This window comes from Homo sapiens, chromosome 14 (genome assembly GCF_000001405.40).
Source record: "Homo sapiens chromosome 14, GRCh38.p14 Primary Assembly".
Classification (NCBI taxonomy): domain Eukaryota; kingdom Metazoa; phylum Chordata; class Mammalia; order Primates; family Hominidae; genus Homo; species Homo sapiens.
Genome location: NC_000014.9, coordinates 51,563,632 through 51,584,136, shown reverse-complemented (window position 1 = coordinate 51,584,136; position 20,505 = coordinate 51,563,632). Strand labels below are relative to the sequence as shown.

The following is a 20,505-nucleotide window of genomic DNA, read 5'->3' as shown; positions in this document are numbered from 1 at the left end:
TCTAGATCTTTAGATTCTACAAATATAAAAGGAGGAGTTGACATTGATGCTCTCTAAGGTCCTTCTAGTGTTATAAGTATATGAATGCACTAATGAATGAATTCCTTGCTTGTATACCTGCCTATGGATTTCTGTTTCAAACTTTAAACCTGGTGCTCAAGGCTCTATATAAAAGTTTTCTCACACCATTTTATAAGATGGCTATTCCTCCTATCATGCCTTATTCATTTCTAAACCCCAGCTTCTCTTTCTGCTATTCTTGCTTCCTAAAACCTCCAATTCCATCCTCTTCACAGCTCAAACCTTAGGCCATCATTAAGGTTCTGCACCAGAACCAAGTTGTCCACTAACAGCTTTCCTGAGTGACTTCGGGCTGCACCATTGTAATTCTTCAGAAAGTGTATACACATGGTAGCCAAAGAGCCTGGGCCCTGGAGCCAGACCACCTGGAGTCAAATCCTAGCTCTGCTACTTAGGAGCTGCTGGTTAGTTAACCTTTCTGTGGCTCAGATTCACCATGTGTAAAATGGATTGTAAGAGTGGCTACTTGGTAAGATTGTTGTGAAGTTTAATATATGTGTTAATATATGAAAACACATGGAAGAGCTCCAGGTACATAGTAAGTGCTCTGTAAATATCATCTATTATTATTATTGCAACTACATTTCACACGTTTTAAATAAATCTTAAGAATTAAATTGTTTCGTGCATGTAGATAATGTCTCCCCAAGTAAACAGCAAGGATCTTCGCTATTTTCTATGACTTTGTGTCCTGGCAAGGGAATTCAAAGCATTACAGCAGCTATTCCTAAACAAACAAACAAACAAACCTATTCTAAACAAACACCTGAAGACAGTAAGGGAGGCCTTACCTGGTGCACTGCAACTTTAAACCATTTTAGTTCGGCAAATAAAGAGAATTATGACACAAATAAACATAATAAAGACCCTGCAGCTGCAGCCACTGGCTTCTCCTTAATGTCTTGGTTTCTTTCTGACTCTTTGTAGATGAATTCTAAGAGTTGGGAATGAGAATTTCTAATGGATTTACTGACACTACTTTATATAATTCAATACATAATAAAATGAAAATCTTTTGAAAACGCATATGAGTGCCACCATGTTGAGGCAGTTATTGCAGGAAAGGCGAGAAAGTAAAAACTATGTGTGGAATAAAAGGATAAAATATTCTTATTTCATCAGCTTACCTTTTGACTCCTTTATATTGTGAGTTCCAAATATGGTCAAGATGAAATGTGTTTATTTTGCCTTGAACCTTCTCACTAATGTACCAAAGGGACATTTCATGAAAGCTAAGAAGTACGAATTTCCAATAAAGCAACCAAGCTCCCTTAAGAAGTGCTCCAGAAGGAAAATTTCTCATCGTTTTGTTGTATTTCTCACCACCAAGTCAAACCAACTGCCAATGCCAAGTTGGACAGGAAGGGTGTCATGACATCAAATATTACATTCCACTGGCAGTGAGATGACCATTATGTTTCTCAGAGCAAGCATGGCTTCATAAGCCAGTTCCTGTTTGCAAGTTGATCTCATGGGTGATCCAGATAAGTGCATACTGCAGCAGCAGTGTGGGCTAGTGGGAAGGCTTGTAGCTTCCTAATGATTCTGCATAGCCTTTGGAAGCCATGGTGGGTCTGGAGCCACAAAATGGTGTGGTTACAATACTTGAGGTGAAAATACAGCAAAACTCCAAAGTAATGTGGACTAAAGCTGAGTCCACAATTATTTTCTTGAGTGATGATCACAAGGAAGATAATATCATCCAATGTCTTCCCTCATTAAGTGGGACGACGGACTATCCTGACGGACAAGGTCATTGCTCTCATCCTGATCTCTACTGGATTAGGACACATCTCAAAAACAAAGCAAAATAATTCTCCTTCTGCCCTTCCCCACATAAACAAACCAAATGGAAACAAACTCTAGTGACTCTTTCTGTAGAACACTAGGGAGTATGACAAGCTATTAGAAAATAGCATAGGCTTCCACTTTAGTCAGTATGTATGACGTAGTCACAAATACTTATTGAGCCCTATGCTAGAAGCTTGGGCTAGAGAAATAAATAAGACAGGTCCTATTCTAAAGGAGCCTACAGTCTACTAAGATAAAAGATAAGCCCTTTTTGTCTCAAAATGGAAGAGCTGGGATTTAATATTCACAACAGAGGATTTTTTTTCAAAGTCTTTCACCTACTGTGGTTCCCTTATGAGGATTTGCTACTCTTTGGGGATGACACTACTTTCACTCTATGTATAGCTGTCTGATTCAAGCTTCATACATTTAATGCGGGTAGGGAAAGCATTTCCAGGTTAGAATGAAACATAAAGTTCTTTTGCTCAACTGAACTTTTCACTAGCACTGCTTAGACACTCTGAATCCTGGAAACATGGTAGAATGTGATGCCAAGAATTCGGCAAGTATCTGGAGAAAATCAACTGAGCTTTAACTTAGCATTTTATTGCCTCTTCACAAAATGAACCAAGGATAGATAAAGACATATAAACTTAGTGATTTATAGCTTTCAAAATATTTTCTATGTTTCTCCACCATGTGTTTGTTTTGCTTTAAGTCTTTTGAATTGGTACTTGACTGATAAGGATATGCACTGTAAATGCCTCCAAAAGATAAGAATTTCTTCTAGCTTGGGAAGAAAGAGGAGAATGATTATAAAACTTCTTGGAGATGACTCACTTTGTTTAATTTTCCCTTTAGATTGTTAGAAACTTGAGAGTGGGGAATTGCCTTACTCATCTTGGTCACTTCTGAATCTACCTCAAGCGCTCCAGAAATGTTTGTTGAATGAATGTATGAATGAGCCATGGATGAATGTCTAGGTCCTGAAGGAGAGGAGGTAGTAGATAAAGAAAGATGGGGGAGAGACTGAGGATGAGAGAGAAGCATTTGTACAGTGTGGGAAGTGTGGGCGGATGCATGTTAGGGGAATGGGGGCAGGTTACATGATATTAGTGTAGTTGAATGGAAAGGCATGGTGGCAGAGGAGGCTGCAGAAAGACTCTGGGGCCACATTGGTTTATATATCTGCTTTCTATGGTACTGTGGCAGCCAGTCTATCATTTCCACATCTTTTCTGTTTTATTTAATTTTTGAAGGCCACACTAGCTCAAGCTCTAGTAATAGGTCTTCGTTTGGTTCCTATATTAATTTAGGGATATAAAGAAGCCTGCATTTTTGGGCTACCATGTAAAGATGAGCAGGCTGTGCACTGCACAATTCCCAGGAACAGTTACAGATCCAGTACAGTGCATGACAGTGCTGTGCTCCCTCATTCTCCCTATATTTGTAATGAAATACATTTACAAATTGATAAATTGCTGGAAGTGCAACACGTTGAGAAATACTTTTAACTATCTTTCCTCTTTACCCATTATATAGTCCTGAAGACCCCCTGATTCTTTCATTTTCCTCAGTCTGTGAGGGTTATATTACAGAAAACATTGTGTTGCTTTTTTACGATGCTTCCACATTCTAACTCTCAAAAATCAAAGGGTACCTATTTTCAACCATTCTATATTGGGTAGGATTCTGATGTTGCAGTTCTTGGGTTCAAATTCTGGCTCCATCACTTAATGTGTGATCTTGTGCAAACTATTTAACTTCTCTGTGCCTCATTTTCCTTAGTTGTAAAATAGGAATAATAAGAGCTCCTACCCTATAGGGTTAATATAAGAAATAATTGAGATAATCTATGTAAAGCACTTAGCACAGTGACATAGGGAGTGCTCATAGGTGTTTGCAATTCTGCTACTAAATTATTATTGCTGATACTGGACTTCCAGGTTGAGCCTGCTGGGCAGAATTCCTCCTGTGCCCCTATAGCTGGGACTGCCCATCCAGAGCCTGTCCATTTCCAATGAGCAGGGCAGGTGTCCACATTCCTCCCAGGTTGTTCATTCCACGAGAGGTAGCCAGATAATCCCCACCTATGGGTTGACAGATCACAAACATACACACACACACACACACACACGGTGCACACAACTTCCCTTTTACTTCAGAAACTTCTAACAACAATGCTACAAAATCAGGATGCTGTTAGGGCTTTCCTCCCTGTCTCTTTCTCCAGTCTAGTCCATTCAAACATCATTGTTGGGTTTGAGAGGGAAATGGGGGATATGTGAGTCCCCAGAACGTTTCATGGGTAACAGTGGAGCTCTGGCAGATAACAGTGGTTTTTGGTAAAGGATGAGCCCCAGAAGGAGAGAAGAGACAGTTTTATTGTTGCTTTTAGTGGTGGTGAGTGTGTACATGTGTCAGATTGTAAATGGGGCAGAGAATATGTCAGATTTGAAGAGGACCTGGAAATCAATGATCAAGTTGCAAAGGGAGAGGGGTCTAGGGTCAGGTGAACAGTGAGAGAGGAGGAATACACTGGCAAGTTGAAAAGCAGGATTCAACAATGAGTAAGGACCAGAGAATCATAGCACCTCTTCTCTCACCAAATCATTTACTCATTCATTTGACAAATTGTTCTTAAGCATTGACTATGTGCTGGGATGTGTTAAATGCAGGGTATTCAACAAAGAACAAGACAGAATCCCTACCTTCATGGAGCTATCATCTAAAGTAAACAAATAAACACATTATTGGTGAGAAGTTATATCCTAGAAGTAAGTGCAAGGCATTATGGATATGAGGGGGTGTCAAGTGATTTGATAAATTTTCTTGGAGAAAATTTGTTGCTTTCAGGAACAGCCATGGGATCAGCACAGCTGGGGTATACTGTGGGAGTAAAGTGAGGTGAGGATAGAGAGGTAAACAGGAGCAATATTATAAAAACCATCTTAGGATCAAAGGTTAAGGAATTTGTTCTTTATTATCAGGGCACTCTGCAATGCAAAACTTAAATATTAGTTATATCTCAAGGCTTGGAATCCAGGGAGGGAAATTGGGTGGTTGTCTCCTTGAATATATTATATATAATATGAAAACTCAACTGAGGATATTTACTGGAAGGCGCCTCCTCCCTTATGTTTTCCTCTATGAGAGATGAAAGATTGTCCCTGCCTGTGGCAGGGCACTCTCCAAAGGGAAGTGATACATCTTCAGCCCCACCTAGATCTCTTCCTCTTTAGAGCAAACCTTGTGCCAGCCTGTATGTTTGCTGTGGTTGGGTTTTCATAAAGCTGTAAAGAAGAAAAGGAAACCTATCATTTATTACCTTCCCATAGCCACATTCATATTCCTAAGCCTGGCCTTCAAGGTCATTTAACTTCTTCCACCCAAACTCGTACTATTCCCCATGCATGGGTCCTCTTCTCTGGTCAAATGGATTGCAGAACATGATATGTACCTCCCTGCTTTGGTGCCTCTGATCTTGTTTTTCTTTCTAGTCTTGCCCTCTTCCAGCCTCAGTTTCCTCGTCTATAAATTGGGGATCATAATATCTTATTCAGGATGTTACACAGATCATGTGTCTGAAAGTACACAGCATAGTGCCTGGCACAAAAAACATCATTCAACAAATGCAAGCATTTGCAAAACTCAAGTTCTAGATCCTTGTCTGCATGTCACAAACTTCAATACTCAAGTGTTTTCAGGGCTGGGTATCACACGAGTGGTGAGAACCAGAGCGAATAAGCAAGGGCATGCTCTGCTTAGAGGCAATGAACATGCACAGAAACAAAAATGAAAATACACAAACAAAAATGCCTCCGACCTCTTTTGGTTTAAACCCACCACTTTGGAATCCTTTTGACTTTTGCCTCATTACTTAGATGGTAAATATTTCTTCTTATGTAATTCTATTTCTTCCAGTGGCCACTTTGTGCCACTTATTTTTCACTTACTTTATATTCTTTGTGGCATTATTTATATTTCAGTGGAAGTTTTTTGACACTCAGGATTACTATGATAACCAAGTGAAATCACATATGTCAAGAATCTAGTGCCTGGCATCAACGGTAGCTTTCCTGTTATTCATAATGATAATGATGCTATTATCAGTCTCTTAAATTCAGAGACCAGGTCTCTAAAAGTTCCAGGAATTTCCTTCCTGCTTGTTGACTTGGCAAAGAACAATAATAACAGCAACGATGGCTTCTGCTTATTGAGTGATTAACCATAGGACAGGAGCTATTAGGAGTGTTTTACGTGCCTGAACTCATTTCTGCTCATGATAACCTGTGAGTAGGCCCTATTGGTATAATGCCTGTTGTAGAGATGAACAAATTGAGGCAACGAAAGATCAAGGAACTAGCCAAGTTATGTAGTTAAGAAATAGCAAAGGCACGTGTATACCTATGTAACAAAACTGCACGTTCTGCACATGTATCCCAGAACTTAAAGTACAAAAAAAAGAGAAAAGAAATGGCAGAGCTAGGATTTGAACTAGGTGGCTGGCCCCAAAGCCTATATACACAGTGAGTATAGCTCTATACTCACTTTCTGACCAACTTCTGTTCATCCTTGAAGGGCCAGGTCACATGTTACCTCCTCTCCTACTTTCCATGCAGAGTTAGTTACTCCATCCTAGGTACTGTCATAGTACTTTAAATGTACCAATTATCCAGATCTATAGCAATTATCAAATTGACGTTGTTTATTTTTATGTGTGTGTTTATTTGTACGCGAGTTTCGTATGGAAGAATCTGTGAATTACTCAAGGCTGTATACTTAGCATAGGGCTTGGCACATATCTGATACACAACACTATACATTGAGTCTTAACTGAACTAGTAATTCAGCTAAATTTGATGATCATGATGATGATAGTGGCTGGAGATGAAACACGGTTGAATGGAAATTTCAAATGGTAAGAACCATAGTGCTGAGCTACTGACTGTGCCATGAGTTTGGTGATATTTTTGCTGTTCTTTTTTTTTTTCCATTGGAGTAGTTAAATGACTCCTATTTAAGATGTCTCAGGGCTCCTAAGCCCTTTTTAGCTACATGTTTTCCCACCCACTCCCTTCTGAGAAGGACTAGCTCATGGCAGATGTGACTGCCTTGCAAATACCAACAGAAGAAACAAAGAACGTGCTGAAACCTATGCCTTGCAACAGTTATTAAAATTTCACCAGAGGTTACACAAACAAGCTGAAAGAATGACTAAAGGAGGCTTAGCCCCACCCCAACATAAGCCATGATCCATATTTTATTATAACAACACCTTACATTTGCATAGTGCTTTAAAATGTGTAATCCTCTCCCCTCTGTTATTTCATCTGATTCTTACAACCCATTGGATCAGACAGGAGAGGCTCAAAGAGAGAAAGAGACTTGTCTAACATCATGTGGCCAGTGAAAAACGAAATTGGGAGGAGGACCTGTCTTCCATACAACATTTATGCAACGTGCCAGACAAGATGGCCCAAGTGGCTAATTTGATATTGGGAGGTTCCTGTCTCCAGCGTGCGTATGTCTGATCTCCTAAGTACTATGAGGCAGAAAAGATTTTGCAGATGATAGACATGAAAACTGAAGAATGGGTCAAGGGATAACATGCTGAGGGTCAAAGAGAAGATGAAGAACGTGAGCTTAGGGGTGCAGGGGAGTACAAGGTGATATCCACTCATGGGGGACCAAAAGAGAAGCTCTGTCACAGAAGGAGGTCGCATATTGAAGTTCACAGGATAAAAATAAAAATTTAAAGCATTCTGCTTCAAAAGAAGAGATGAGATAGGCATGCCCGAGTTCAGAAGACAGAGGAGGTTTCAGTCAGCGTGAACTGCCTGGGCAAACTACGTTATGTTGAATGCTTTTAAAGGACTCTTCTTTCTCTATGTTGTCATGCCCTCCCAGGGGATCTAAGAGACCCATCAGATCCCCTGGCCTGTGCTTTCCACTTCAATTCCCTGTTCCCACCACACTGGGCTTACTGTCTGTAAGGCTATAGGAATGTGGAGAAACCCAGAAGCAGGAAACAGGGTGAGAATGCCTTCTTTGATGTCGGCACTTAAGTTTGCTTTGTGATTCCTCGTGCCTTGTGCCTCTAGTTTCTGCAGACTCTGTGGGCTCTGGTCTCAGATCCTCTTCCTGTAGCCCACTCTCCTGGGTGTCGGGTGCCAGGGCTGCTCTGGTTCTTGATTGTTCAGGCTGCCCTTTGCCTCAGGTCTGCGACCCTCTCTTCTCCACTGCCGACCACAGGCTCAGGCTGGACTTGCTCTATTCTGGCTCCTGGCTACAACCATTTGCTGCCAGTGGCCTGGTGCTGATGGGGTCTCCACCTACTTTCTCAAAGAATGTGGGACTATACTAGAAACTGTCTGCAATAAGGTAGCATTTGTCCCATTTGGGAATACCTGCTAATCTGTTCATGTTTATAAAGATGCAGCTCATGGCCCATGAGCTCTTGCCAGCCATGACAGAAAGAAAAGGAGACACGGAGAGTTCCAGCCATCTGCAAACGTAAAACAAGGCAGAAACACAGTGCATTCTCAAATACAGCTGAAAGCACTGCAGCGTAGGCAGCTGAATCCCATTAAGAAATCATGCGAAATCTCTGTATTCCTGCCATTGTGACGAAGAAGAAAAAAAATCTCTAAGGATTTCAAAAAGAAAACATTTATGACCAGCAGACTTAAAGTTCTACAATATCTCACGAAAACAGAAAACAGTCACACACACTCCTCTGACACTTTCTAACGGCCCTTACCTAGGGAGACTCCAGAAGGGAATTTCCACTTAGCTCAACCAAGGAGCATCTGCATCTGCAGGAGAAAGTCAGAGCCAGGTGGCCCCCTCCGCTGATGCAAGATCCAAAGTCCTGATGTTCAGGGAGCACAGACAAGGCTCTCTTTATATTCACAGCCCATCTTTGTAAAGGTTATTTCATGTCGATAGATAAGTTGGAATTACTTATCTGCCTTAATTCCTTTCTCCCCAGTTTTTAATTCAGACTGCCTCTGGATCTTAAAGTTAAAATGTAAGCCATATTTTAAAATTAAATAACAAATTGAATCTTAAAATTCAAATTTAAGCCATTCTCAGCAATGAAAGAGGATTGATAATGTTCCTAGTAGCCATTTTGAGTGACTGGTGGGGCATCATCTCTCTAGGCATAAAAGTGGTCTTTCAATAGGCTCCATGCTGTGATAAAAAAGGCCAAACTGCTCTTACATGAGAGCAACACATTTACTTTGTATTTCTTTATTATCCTTTTAAAAATTTATTTTATTTTTAATTTTTATGGGTACATACTATGTGTATATATTTATAGGGCACATAAGATATTTTGATACAGGCATGCAATGTGTAGTAATCACACCAGGGTAAATGGGGCATTCATCACCTCAAGCATTTATACTTTCTTTGTGTTACAAACCATCCAATTATATTCTTTTAGTTATTTTAAAGTATACAATAAATCACTGTTGATCAGAATCGCCCTGTTGTACTATCAAATATTAGCTCTTATTCATTCTATCTAACTATATTTTTGTACCCATTAACCATTCCCACTTCCCCCACCCCACCCACTACCCTTCCCAACCTCTGGTAACCATCATTCTACTCTCTATACCCATGAGTTCAATTGTTTTAATTTTTAGCTCCCATAAATGAGTGAGGACATGTGAAGTTTGTCTTCCTGTGCCTGGCTTGTTTTATGTAACATAATGTCCTCAGGTTCTGTCCATGTTGTTGCAAATAACAGGATCTCATTCTCTTTTATGGCTCAGTAGTACTCCGTTGTGCATACATACCACATTTTCTTTATCCATTTGTCTCATGATGGACACTTGTATTTTAATAATTCAAAATGAATATAAATCTCAAAAAAGAAGACTTCTTATCAGGGTAGCTTTAAAGGCTCTGTGGATAGAGTCTATTTTTGCATGTGCCCTGATCTATGCTTGGAAAACCATGGTCCAGTAAATTCCAGGGCACAACCAGAAGAGACTAGAAAGGTTGAGCAATGAGAGGGAGAGCCTATTGCACCCTTCACTCTGAAAAGGTGGTGGCTAAGGTCAGAGAGGATTGATGTTTACAAAACCATAAGGGCTGGGCAGGGCTGGCAGGGCAAGCACAGGAAGACCTTCCCAAGGGTTAATCAAAGGTGGCTTTAGCACAAATAAAAGGAAGCATGAAGTCACCCTGTGGCTAGCAATTCTATGAAAACTGTTACCCAAGAGATGCTTCATAGAAAATAAAAAAATAGGTTGAAGAGGGTGATGAATTTAGTAATAACTAATTATTATGGGATTCTGGAAATGCCTCCTAGAAAGCAATCTTGTCTCGTTTCTTTCCCTAAATATCCCTAGTTGTCATTGTATTAATAGCATCAGGTTACTTGGTTAGAGAGACAACCAGCCTGTGGTCTGACTGATACACGGTGATTCTTTGACTCCTTTATGCAAATGATGGTCTTGGTAAGTAGTCATCTGCCTCCTACCTTGCTTCATTTAAGGTAAGCGTCCAGTCTCCTGAATTTAATAACTTGGACATAGAGATTTGAGACACGGGGACTGTCTTCATCACCATAACTTGAATACAAACGACCAGCGTGATGTTGGCTCCACAGTAGCATCCTAAGAATTCAGTATGCCAGCAGAGCACCAAAAATACTGCTTCAGCCTAATGTAGGATTCCTTTCTGTGCCTTCCCTGGGATCTGGCTCCTCACAATATTTACTTTCTTGTAAAGTACTGAAGGAAAGTAGCAAATGGATGAGGGAGGAGTGTATTCCTGGAATATCTGTTTCACCTTAAGACATTTCCTCTGTCCCTTTTCACCCTTCTTTCCTCCCCTCTCTCTCTCCTGCTCCTTTGTCTCTCATTGGCATAAGAGGTGATAACAGGGCCAGTGGGGCATTGAAATGTCAGTGGTCTCCTCAGAATTCCAACGCCAGGTCACCTTATTGGCCTATAACCCCTGCTTTCCTTCCAGTAAGTGGCTAGTTATGGGACCCAGCAAGGGCATTTGAAAGCACTGACTGAGGACAAAGTGGGGTTTAAGTGATGCATAACCCCCCTTTATCCTCCATAGTCTATCTTGGCTAGAAGCCTGTCACAGGACTATCAAGGGCAGCTGAGTCTTCCCCAAAATCAACAAAGAAAACAACCTCATTTCTATATCTCAGCTGTGTCTGAAGAACCAATGTCTAGATAGATCCCCTTCTCTCAGATGATTTTTGTGTGTGGGGGTAGGGTGAGGAAAGTGTTGTCTATGAAAGCATCATATGATAAAACCTAAGAATGTGAAGAAAATTAGTCTTCTCTCTGTCTCCAAAAATTTACTGTTAAATTTCAAGTGAGTCTATAAGCCTCTGACTCTTCACATATGTATTGAAATAGAACAAAAGGACTAGTTTGAGGAGACAACATTAAGCTTAGTTGATGGAAAGTAAAAGCTCTTTGAAATGATTCCCTTAAAGGATTTGGCCTTCCGAATTCAATTTTGCTCCCTTTTCAACCATCTTAGGCATTCGTTTTTAATAAGTCTTTATAAAGTAAATGATTCAACAAAGGAACTCAAAACTGTGTTTCTGACTGCAAAAGAAGTATAGATTCCAGATGTCTCTCATTTTTCTACATCACTAATTCAAACTCAGAAATCTCTTGTTTATTGGACACTTGTTTAATCCTAATGTTTTACATACCTCTCCTCTAAGAATCCCCTTTCTCTCTGTCTCCCTTCTCTCACCAAAGCCATCTACAGGGCAATATGTCATAGATGCAACTGTACCTTTCCAGCATATGCTATGAAATATTTCAACTTATGCTAAAATGAGATTTTCTAATCATATATAACTGTTATTCATTCATATTAGCATTTATGTGAAAGATTAGGGAAAGTTCCTTCTCCTGAAATATTTGCCAACTGATGACGTGTTTTGCTTTGTACATTGAATAGAGGTAAGGGAAATAAATCATCTTTCAAGATCCTCTTCTGGTCCTTTGATCTTCTGCACTGGGGTCACCCAGCTGGCTTTTCAAATTTTGCTCCAAGGGCTGGTGAACATTAGAGGAGCTAATAGCAGGCACTATTCTTTACTCTCCTAGCACTATGGATAGGCTATGAATGATGCTTTTCCATATTTTATCACGTCCCTAATGCTATCTGGCCTTATGCTGGAGTGCCAGCAGTGGCCAAGGAACTAGAAGAGCAGAGAACAGGGAGGTGACATAATAACAAACCTTCATAGAAGATAAAACATAGTAGTGGTGTTGCTGCTGGTCTAGTGGGGATGAGAAAACTTACAGGTAGGTGAGCCATGCAAAGGAGAGACACTTGATATCTCCCCTGTCTGCTTGTTTTTAATGAGACAAAGTTTGATGTAACCTTTTTGAATTTATAAGTCTATTAATAAAATCTTTAATCATGGCTAATATTTATTAAGCCAGGTATTTGCTAAGTACTCCTGGATTATCTGCATTATTTTTTTAGAGCAATCCTCACTAGTACAGTCTATTAGTATCTTCATTATATAAATGAGGAAATTGAGTCTAAGAGACTCTGATACCTACTCGTCAAGAAATATGTATGATTTGGAGAAGAAATCATGCATATCTTTGCAAATGAGGCATCATCTTCAGCAAAGGTACTCTTGGGAGCCACATTTACCAATCATTTAAGAACGACAGTATCTTTATATGTATTCTTTTTAAGTTTAGCAGATAATTAATTAACAGGGATTCCCAGGGTTACACCAGATCAGAGATGAAATTTCTGCTGGGTAGCTATCCAGGCTGTTTTTCAGAATTGGTGATACTGGATAGTGTGGAGAACTCCAGCATACCCTAAACACTACAAGAGGACAGAATCACATTTTGTGTGACAACATAAATCCTTCATAAAGGACGACACAATCCTTTGCCAATGGCTTCAGAGGCACACTGCAGCATCGAACTCCTCAGCTCAAGTGATCCTCCTGCCTCAGCATCCCAAGTAGCTGGGACTACAGGTGTGTGCCACCAGGCCTGGCTAATTTTTATTTTCTGTTTTTTATAGAGATGAAGTCTCACGATGTTGTTCAGGCTAGTCCCAAACTCTTGGCCTCAAGCAATCCTCTTGCCTCAGCCTCCCAAAGTGCTGGGGTTAGTCATGAGCCACCATGCCCAGCCATGCTGTGGATGTTAATTATGTTAATTATAAAAGGCAGCCATCTTAGTAGCTGGACACCCATTTATAGATGTGTCTTCCATGACTATTTTCCTCCTCAAAGCTAACAAGGGATATAAATCATTTCATTAGTTGACAATTTCTACCAAACACATCGTTTTGACGGAGTCCCATATTAGATAGAATTTAAGTTGTCACAAAGATAGTATGTTTGGAATAATGTATGATTTTATGAAGCAAGCTTGTTAAATGAGGAATGGATGAATCTGAAGGAAGAAAAGGCAATGGAGAAAAGAAAGGAAGAAACATTAAGTCCATTAAATGCAATCGACCCAGAGAGATATTTTCTATTCCTTTGGCCTACGAAACCTATCTAAAACTGGTTCTCAGAACTGTATGTGCATCAGAGTCAACTGGAAACTTTATTAAAGCACAGGGGAGAGCCTGAGAATTTGCATTTTTAACAACTTCCTTCATGGTGTTGATGCTGCTGGTCTGGGAACCACATTTTCAGACCCACTGCTCTCAAATGTATTTGGAATTGTACACGATTGGAGATCTTATTTGACCTTTCCCAGATTACAGTCCAGAGATCTGTCTAAGGCTGACACCATCTTTAGATTTCTTAAACTTCGGTTTTTGTTTTTTGAAACAAAGTTTACAGGTTCACTTTAGCACTTCTTACCTGATGAAATTTGACAAGTTTCCAACCAGAAGAAGCTTCATAAGAAAAAAACAGATATGAAGGCTGTTGAGAGAAAAATAAGGAACAATCAAGAAAAGAAATATAAATGTCTCTATTTTTATAATTAGCATTACTTTTAGACAGATTAAACACCACCATTCCAAAGATACATCAATTTTATTTTCTCCACCATTTTTATTAGCAACTTGAACAAATTTGCAGATGAAGAAAATGCAATTGGACTAACAATGTGACAAGTTAAAAAGAAAATTCTCCGCCGGGCACGGTGGCTCATGGGCCGGGCGCAGTGGCTCACGTCTGTAATCCCAGCACTTTGGGAGGCCAAGGTGGGCAGATCACGAGGTCAGGAGATCGAGACCATCCTGGCTAACATGGTGAAACCCCGTCTCTACTAAAAATACATAAAATTAGCCGAGTGTGGTGGCGCACACCTGTAGTCCCAGCTACTCGGGAGGCTGAGGCAGGAGAATGGCGTGAACCCAGGAGGTGGAGCTTGCAGTGAGCCGAGATCGCGCCACTGCACTCCAGCCTGGGCGACAGAGCCAGACGGTCTCAAAAAAAAAAAAGAAAAAGAAGAAAGAAAATTCTGGCCGGGCATGATGCCTCAAGCCTGTAATCTCAGCTCTTTGGGAGGCTGACATGGGCACATCACTTGAGCCTAGGAGTTTGAGAGTAGCCTGGGCAACATGGCAAAACCCTGTCTCCACAAAAAATACAAAAATTAGCTGAGCAGGGTGGCATGCCTGTAGTCCCAGCTACCAGGAAGGCTGAGGTGGAAGGATCACCTGAGCTCGGGAGGTCAAGTCTGCAATGAGCTGTGTTCACACCACTGCACGCCAGCCTGGGCGACAGAGTGAGATTCAGAAAAAAAAAAAAAAAAAAGAAAGAAAGAAAGAAAAGAAAATTCTATTATTAAATAGAAAGTGACAATAATGTCAGAGTTACAATAAAGTATTCTAAACAATGTTAATTAGTGTTTATTCTGACCCTGGTATTGTTTGCCTAAGTTAAGGCACTATTTTTAGTAACCAAACTATTTTGGTTACCGTTTCTTTTTTTGGCATTCCAAAGTCTGCTTCCTAATGCAAGGCTGTTGTCTGTTTATTTGACAATTTATTTCTTTTTCTGATTACCAAACAATTTGGGAAACTCTGAGAACCATACAGAAATGTCTGAGAGGCACGTCTGTGTAGCGTTTGTGAGGGCTAGTATGAAGACAGGGCTTCTTCAGTAAAAGCCTTTCTGGCTGGGCACAGTGGCTCACGCCTGTAATCCCAGCATTTTGGGTGGCAGAGGTCGGGGGATCACCTGAGGTCAGGAGTTCGAGACCAGCCTGGCCAACGTGGTGAAAACCTGTCTCTACCAAAAATACAAAAATTAGCCAGGCGTGGTGGCACCTGCTTGTCATCCCAGCTACTCAGGAGGCTGAGGCAGGAGAACTGCTTGAACCCGGGAGGCAGAAGTTGCAGTGAGCCGAGACTGCGCCATTGCACTACAGTTTGGGCAACAGGGGCAAAACTCCATCTCAAAAAAAAAAAAAAAAAGTAAAAGCCTTTCTGGATATTTTATTAGCATTTCCAGGTAAGGGAAGAAATACAATGTTTTCCTTTGGTCAGGCAATCAATTCATACCAGAGCTGGTCCCTTCACCACAGCCTCTTGATTCCCTATCATATCAAGCCCATTGGATTTAGTGATCTGTAGAGGTCATTGTTTCCATACTTCTCCTTCACTCACAAATGGTGCTGGACAATTCAAACCACTCCCAGAACCATCCTTGGGCAGCCTGGCACACATGCCCAGCTGTTCTGGATTTTTGGCCTACTGTTGGCCACAGAGAGATAACTTTAACAGGCCAGTACAAGGCAAAAAGTTTCTTGCAGTGTTCGCCATTTCTTAGTCACCTCTCCTCACTTCCACATAGGGACAAAGATAGTGGTCACTCATTTCTTGAACTTCAATGCTTGCTCCATTTCTCCTCCCATTACACCTGTTTCTGGATTAAGGCTGCTTACAGCTCACGCTGTACTCCTCCAAAACACTGTAAGAAGAAGGCCCAGAGAGTTCTGACTTGTGAATGCAAAACAGGAGCTTGACATTCTTTAGCTGGACCTATCATTCTTCTAATGCCTAAATCAATGGAAGGTTTCCTGCAGACAAGAATTGGCTCAGAAAATTTCTCATTCACAGTCAAGGCTTGTAAGGAACAACATCACCTCCATGGGACTAAATATAGCCTATGATATTTTTATTCTAGAAAAGACATAAATGAACTCATAGCTATTTTGCCAAGTGCTTTCTTCTTAAACATTTATGGCAAGCCAGTGCTTCTCAGCTCGTCAAGGCAAGATGCCTACAGATGTTAACTTGTTAGCTTGCCTAGGCTAGAAATTCAGGAACTTCGAGACACGAAACTCATTCCTAGTATAACTACGTATTTGTGTGTCAGCAAAGACTATTTTCTTTTCCCTTTATTAAGAAAAATACCAACTGCAAACATTTATTGAGCTTTGAGATAGCTATAAAAGAAGTATTAGATATGAGTCTTGTTCTGGAAGTGCTTATGATCAAGTCTGAATACAAAATCTGTACATATGAAATAATCAGAAACAAAGAAAGGAGAGAGTTAAGCATTAACTGTGCAGTACAGACCTTACAGATGTACTATGTCAGAGTGTTGAGGATAGCTTTAAGAAGGATGTGATTAAGGCAAATAAAGGATGCATATGATTTCTACAAAAAGATGGGTGGGACGGGGCATAGTGGCTCATATCTGTAATCCTACCACTTTGGGAGGCCAAGACAGGAGGATTGCTTGAGGCCTGGAGTTTGAGATCAGCCTGGGCAACATAGCAAGATACTGTCTCTACAAAACGATTAGCCAGGCATGTTGGCACATGGCTATAGTCCTAGCTACTAAGGAGACTGTGGCAGGAGGATGACTGGAGCCCAGGAGTTGGAGGTTGCAGTGAGCTATGATGCCTCCACTGTACTCCAGTCTGGGTGACAGAGTGAAACCTTGTCCCTAAAAGAAAACAAAACCAAAAACAGATGGGTAGTCATGGTAGCATCTAGAAGTCTCATACTGGTAACCAGAGGGTCAAGGGACTTTTTAATTTGACCTTCACTCGTTTCAAAACAAATTTGAGTTAGTTGCCAACATTAACAACTTGGAAGATTTTACATTAAAATACATTTTTTCTTTTAAAAAATGACGAGTCTGTCAAAACCTGGCCTACGTTTCTGCATGGTAACTGGCCTATGTTTCTGCATGAACCGGAGCTGAGTAGCACCCATCCCTTCAGATGGGGCACTAACTACTCCTTCCCCACCTCCCATACCACTTCCTGTTGCTTCTCCCACTTAACCTGCTGCTTTGCTCATCTGTAGCAGCTGTCTGGCTCTTGTGGGCATTTGAGTTTTCAATGCCTGCTGTGCATTAACAGAGCCTCCTGCATAGGGGGCCTGTGACAAATGCTCAACCTCAACCAATTCTGTGAAAACAAGCGATCCTGCCCTCTCAGTCCAACTTCTGCAAGGTAAAACAACTTATACACAGAAGGATACTTTACAAAACTTTGTTCTTAGTCTAGAGAGGAAACTATCATGGACAACACATACAAATAGTTTAACTTTTGGTTTTGAAAGTATTGGGTTGGTGCAAAAGTAATTGCGGTAAAAAGTAATGGCAAAACTGCAATTATTTCGCACCAACCGGATACATTGGGTATAATGACTCAAAATGCATATTCGAGGATGGTGGATTGCCTGGCTACTGTGTAGGAAGGCTGGAGCTTCATTAACTCTTTCAGTTCATTGAATTTAAAAAGACCCAGGTGAAACAAATATTACGTGGGAAAATTCAGATTGGAAAGTGGATAAATTGAGGTTGCTTATTCTATTTTTCAGAAAATGTCCCTATTTTACAAAGAATTTTTAAAAGCAAAGTTGTTCATATATATTTAAAATATGGTCAAATCTACCTGAAAAGTAGCACTGTGTATTCTATAAAGCCAGACACATCTGTATGGGTCTTTACTCTGGACAATCGATTCTTTACTGTTTGCTCTGAGGAAATGTATGTGTCACATCCAAGTGGCTGGTCAATGCAAGCTGCGTGTGTTCGATTTGGAATGACTTTTCATGCTGGTACTGGAATGGTCATTCCTTTGTTCATTTGACTATCCTAAATGCATACATTTCTTTAGCCCAGTGGGCTTTGTCTTGAGACAGAGTCTCCCTCTGTCGCCCAGGCTAGAGTTCACTGGCATGATCTCGGCTCACTGCAAGCTCCACCTCCTGGGTTCATGCCATTCTCCTGCCTCAGCCTCCTGAGTAGCTGGGACTACAGGCGCCCGCCACCACACCCGGCTAATTTTTTTGTATTTTTAGTAGAGACGGGGTTTCACCATGTTAGCCAGGATGGTCTCAATCTCCTGACCTCATGATCTGCCCGCCTCGGCCTCCCAAAGTGCTGGGATTACAGGCGTGAGCCACCGTGCCCGGCCACTGTCTTGACTTTTTTAATAAACAGCTCTGTGAACTTGGAGAGATCCATTAAACTTTCCTGGTTTTTGTTCCTCAAATGAGGGAACATAACAACACAATGTGCCCCAATTCATGACTTCCATCTAAGGCCTCGCCACCTCTAGAACTGCTGCTGTTCCCTGAGGCCCCATTTCCTTCATAGTTAATGGAGGTGGTTGGGCTAGATCTTCAGAGCCCATATTTACCGTGGCATTGTCTAGCTCTTGGTGATTCATTTAAACAAAACAAGGACGACCCACAACTACCACCGCCACCACCAGCACCACCACCATCACCATCACCCCCATCAAAAACCTCCGTCTATTTCTCAAGACTGAAAGTGAAAAGGGTTGTTTCTTTTCAAATATTTAAAAACAAACCCAAACTACCTTTGGGCAAGAAGCCTAGAAGAGCATGCCTCACCTCATACCATCAGTTCTTGGTATTTGAATCCAGTGGGCTAATCCAGTATTGTTCTAGCAGCACCTTGAAGCTTAATAGAGCTCAACTACAGCTGCCCCCAAGTGGGTTACACTAGTATTCGGCACGTGTAAGCCAAGTGTTACAAGTTTCTGTGAAGAAGTCATTTCAGTTTGGGAAAAATTGTCTAATTTGGCCATTCAATTTGCATTGTTCTGAAAGTTGCCAGACTTGTCCTGCCAGGCATTAGTGTCAAGAACTTTCATCTTCCTTGGCTCCACCTCCTCTCTCTGTGTACACAGAAGAACAAAGGGAGGAGGCCCTGAGGCAGTGCCATCCAAGGAGCCAAACCCGGTCTGGGTTTTGAGTTGATGACTTTTTTGAATTATAAAAACTTTTCCAAGGAAGTTTTCGCTCAAGACTTTTATGGGTTTTATAAACAGAAATGAATGCAAGCTGGACAACAGACCGTGGCAAGTTAAACATCATGAACAGGTCTGCCATTATTACTGTCGTGAAAAATCACTTCCCTGTGTTTTTGATTCTCTTTAAATATATACACATAGAAAATGCACACACATTTCTTTTCCTATATTTTTAATTAGGAAAATATCCCACATGTTGATAAACTTTCTGTGAGTGACATGGTACCTGATTTTTAGCAAATGCGAGCTCCTACATGTAAGTGAAGTCACCCTTTAACTGTTAGGAGAACTGCTTATTTAAACATTTGCTTAGAAGAGGTTGTTGCCCCGAGGCCTTTCCAAAAGAGCCCTTGACCTCTCTTTCTAAGGCTGTTGTGCTGCTTTTCAGAAGAGGATTGTTAATTATATCCTTTAAACCACCTATTATTCTGAGCTGCTGCTGTCCATAATCTCTCTCTGTCAAAGCCACCCTTGGTCAGCTCTCTCAGACCCCGGAGCTGCCTGCTCAAAATGGAGGCCGCTTAATCTCCCTGGGTCCCTTCAGGTCGCTCCATTTTTACTTCCTCTCTTCTCAAAGAGGCCAATTTCTTTTTCATCTCATTTAAAACTTTTAAAAAAGAGATTTTGGTCTAAAACTAGATCATACAGGTTCTGCCCAAATTCATTATTGTAGACAGGAAACTGAGGATCTGAGGCAAACTTAAATCACATACCGCCTCAGAGATCAAAGACAGCAACACGAATGCATTTTCCCTGGTCCTAATGAGAAGACTCTCCAAGCTTAGGAATTTACATGTTCAAAAGTAACGACAAATATAAGTACTGTGTAAAGAGAGGCTCAATCAAATGCAGTGTGAAACTTGAACATGACCAAGGGAGGCTCGTGGAGGAAATCGGGCCAATCTGTGGGGGTGTGAAGTAATATTGAACAAGGAGTAGGATAAATAGTGACCAGAGCTGTAATAAATGAAATCAGTACCTAGCTGCATACCCAGAAAGAAATTTTCCGTAATAAAAACTTTAGAAATGGTAATAAAACAATTGTTTTCAAGAGGTAAAAGTGGTTAGAACTTGAAAGTTTATGACTTGCGATCGCAAAGTTATTAATCTTGTGGGAATTCTGAAAATAAAATTGTTTCTAAATATCTCTAAGTGTACAGTTAGAAACCTTACTATCAGTGAATAAAAATGGACTTTCCAAGCTTGATTATATTAAGCATTTTTCATAGCCATTAGTATAATCATAGACCTTCTGTATACTTTCTTCACTTCTGAGTTGTTACTGAGCTATGCATTACATCAAAGTTGTATTGCAACCACAGAAGCTTTTTTCTTCATTCTTTTTTTTTGAGACTGAATCTCGCTCTATTGCCTAGGCTGGAGTGCA

At 40.7% G+C, this 20,505-nt stretch overlaps 1 protein-coding gene and 1 long non-coding RNA gene across 16 annotated transcripts in view; one reads left to right on the top strand and one right to left on the bottom strand.

Moving 5' to 3' along the window:
• Positions 1-20,505, bottom strand: part of FRMD6 (FERM domain containing 6) — a 334,297-nt gene that overhangs the window by 146,591 nt on the left and 167,201 nt on the right. For 13 of the 14 annotated variants that reach the window (XM_047430922.1, XM_047430931.1, XM_047430926.1 and 10 more), the window contains one exon: positions 13,727-13,789. The exons of the other annotated variant lie outside the window; for it this stretch is intronic. The gene's annotated coding sequence lies outside the window, so the exon portion shown is untranslated. The remainder of the gene's footprint in view (positions 1-13,726; positions 13,790-20,505) is intronic. 14 annotated transcript variants of the gene reach the window in all.
• Positions 1-20,505, top strand: part of FRMD6-AS2 (FRMD6 antisense RNA 2) — a 145,441-nt gene that overhangs the window by 15,816 nt on the left and 109,120 nt on the right. The window lies entirely within an intron of this gene.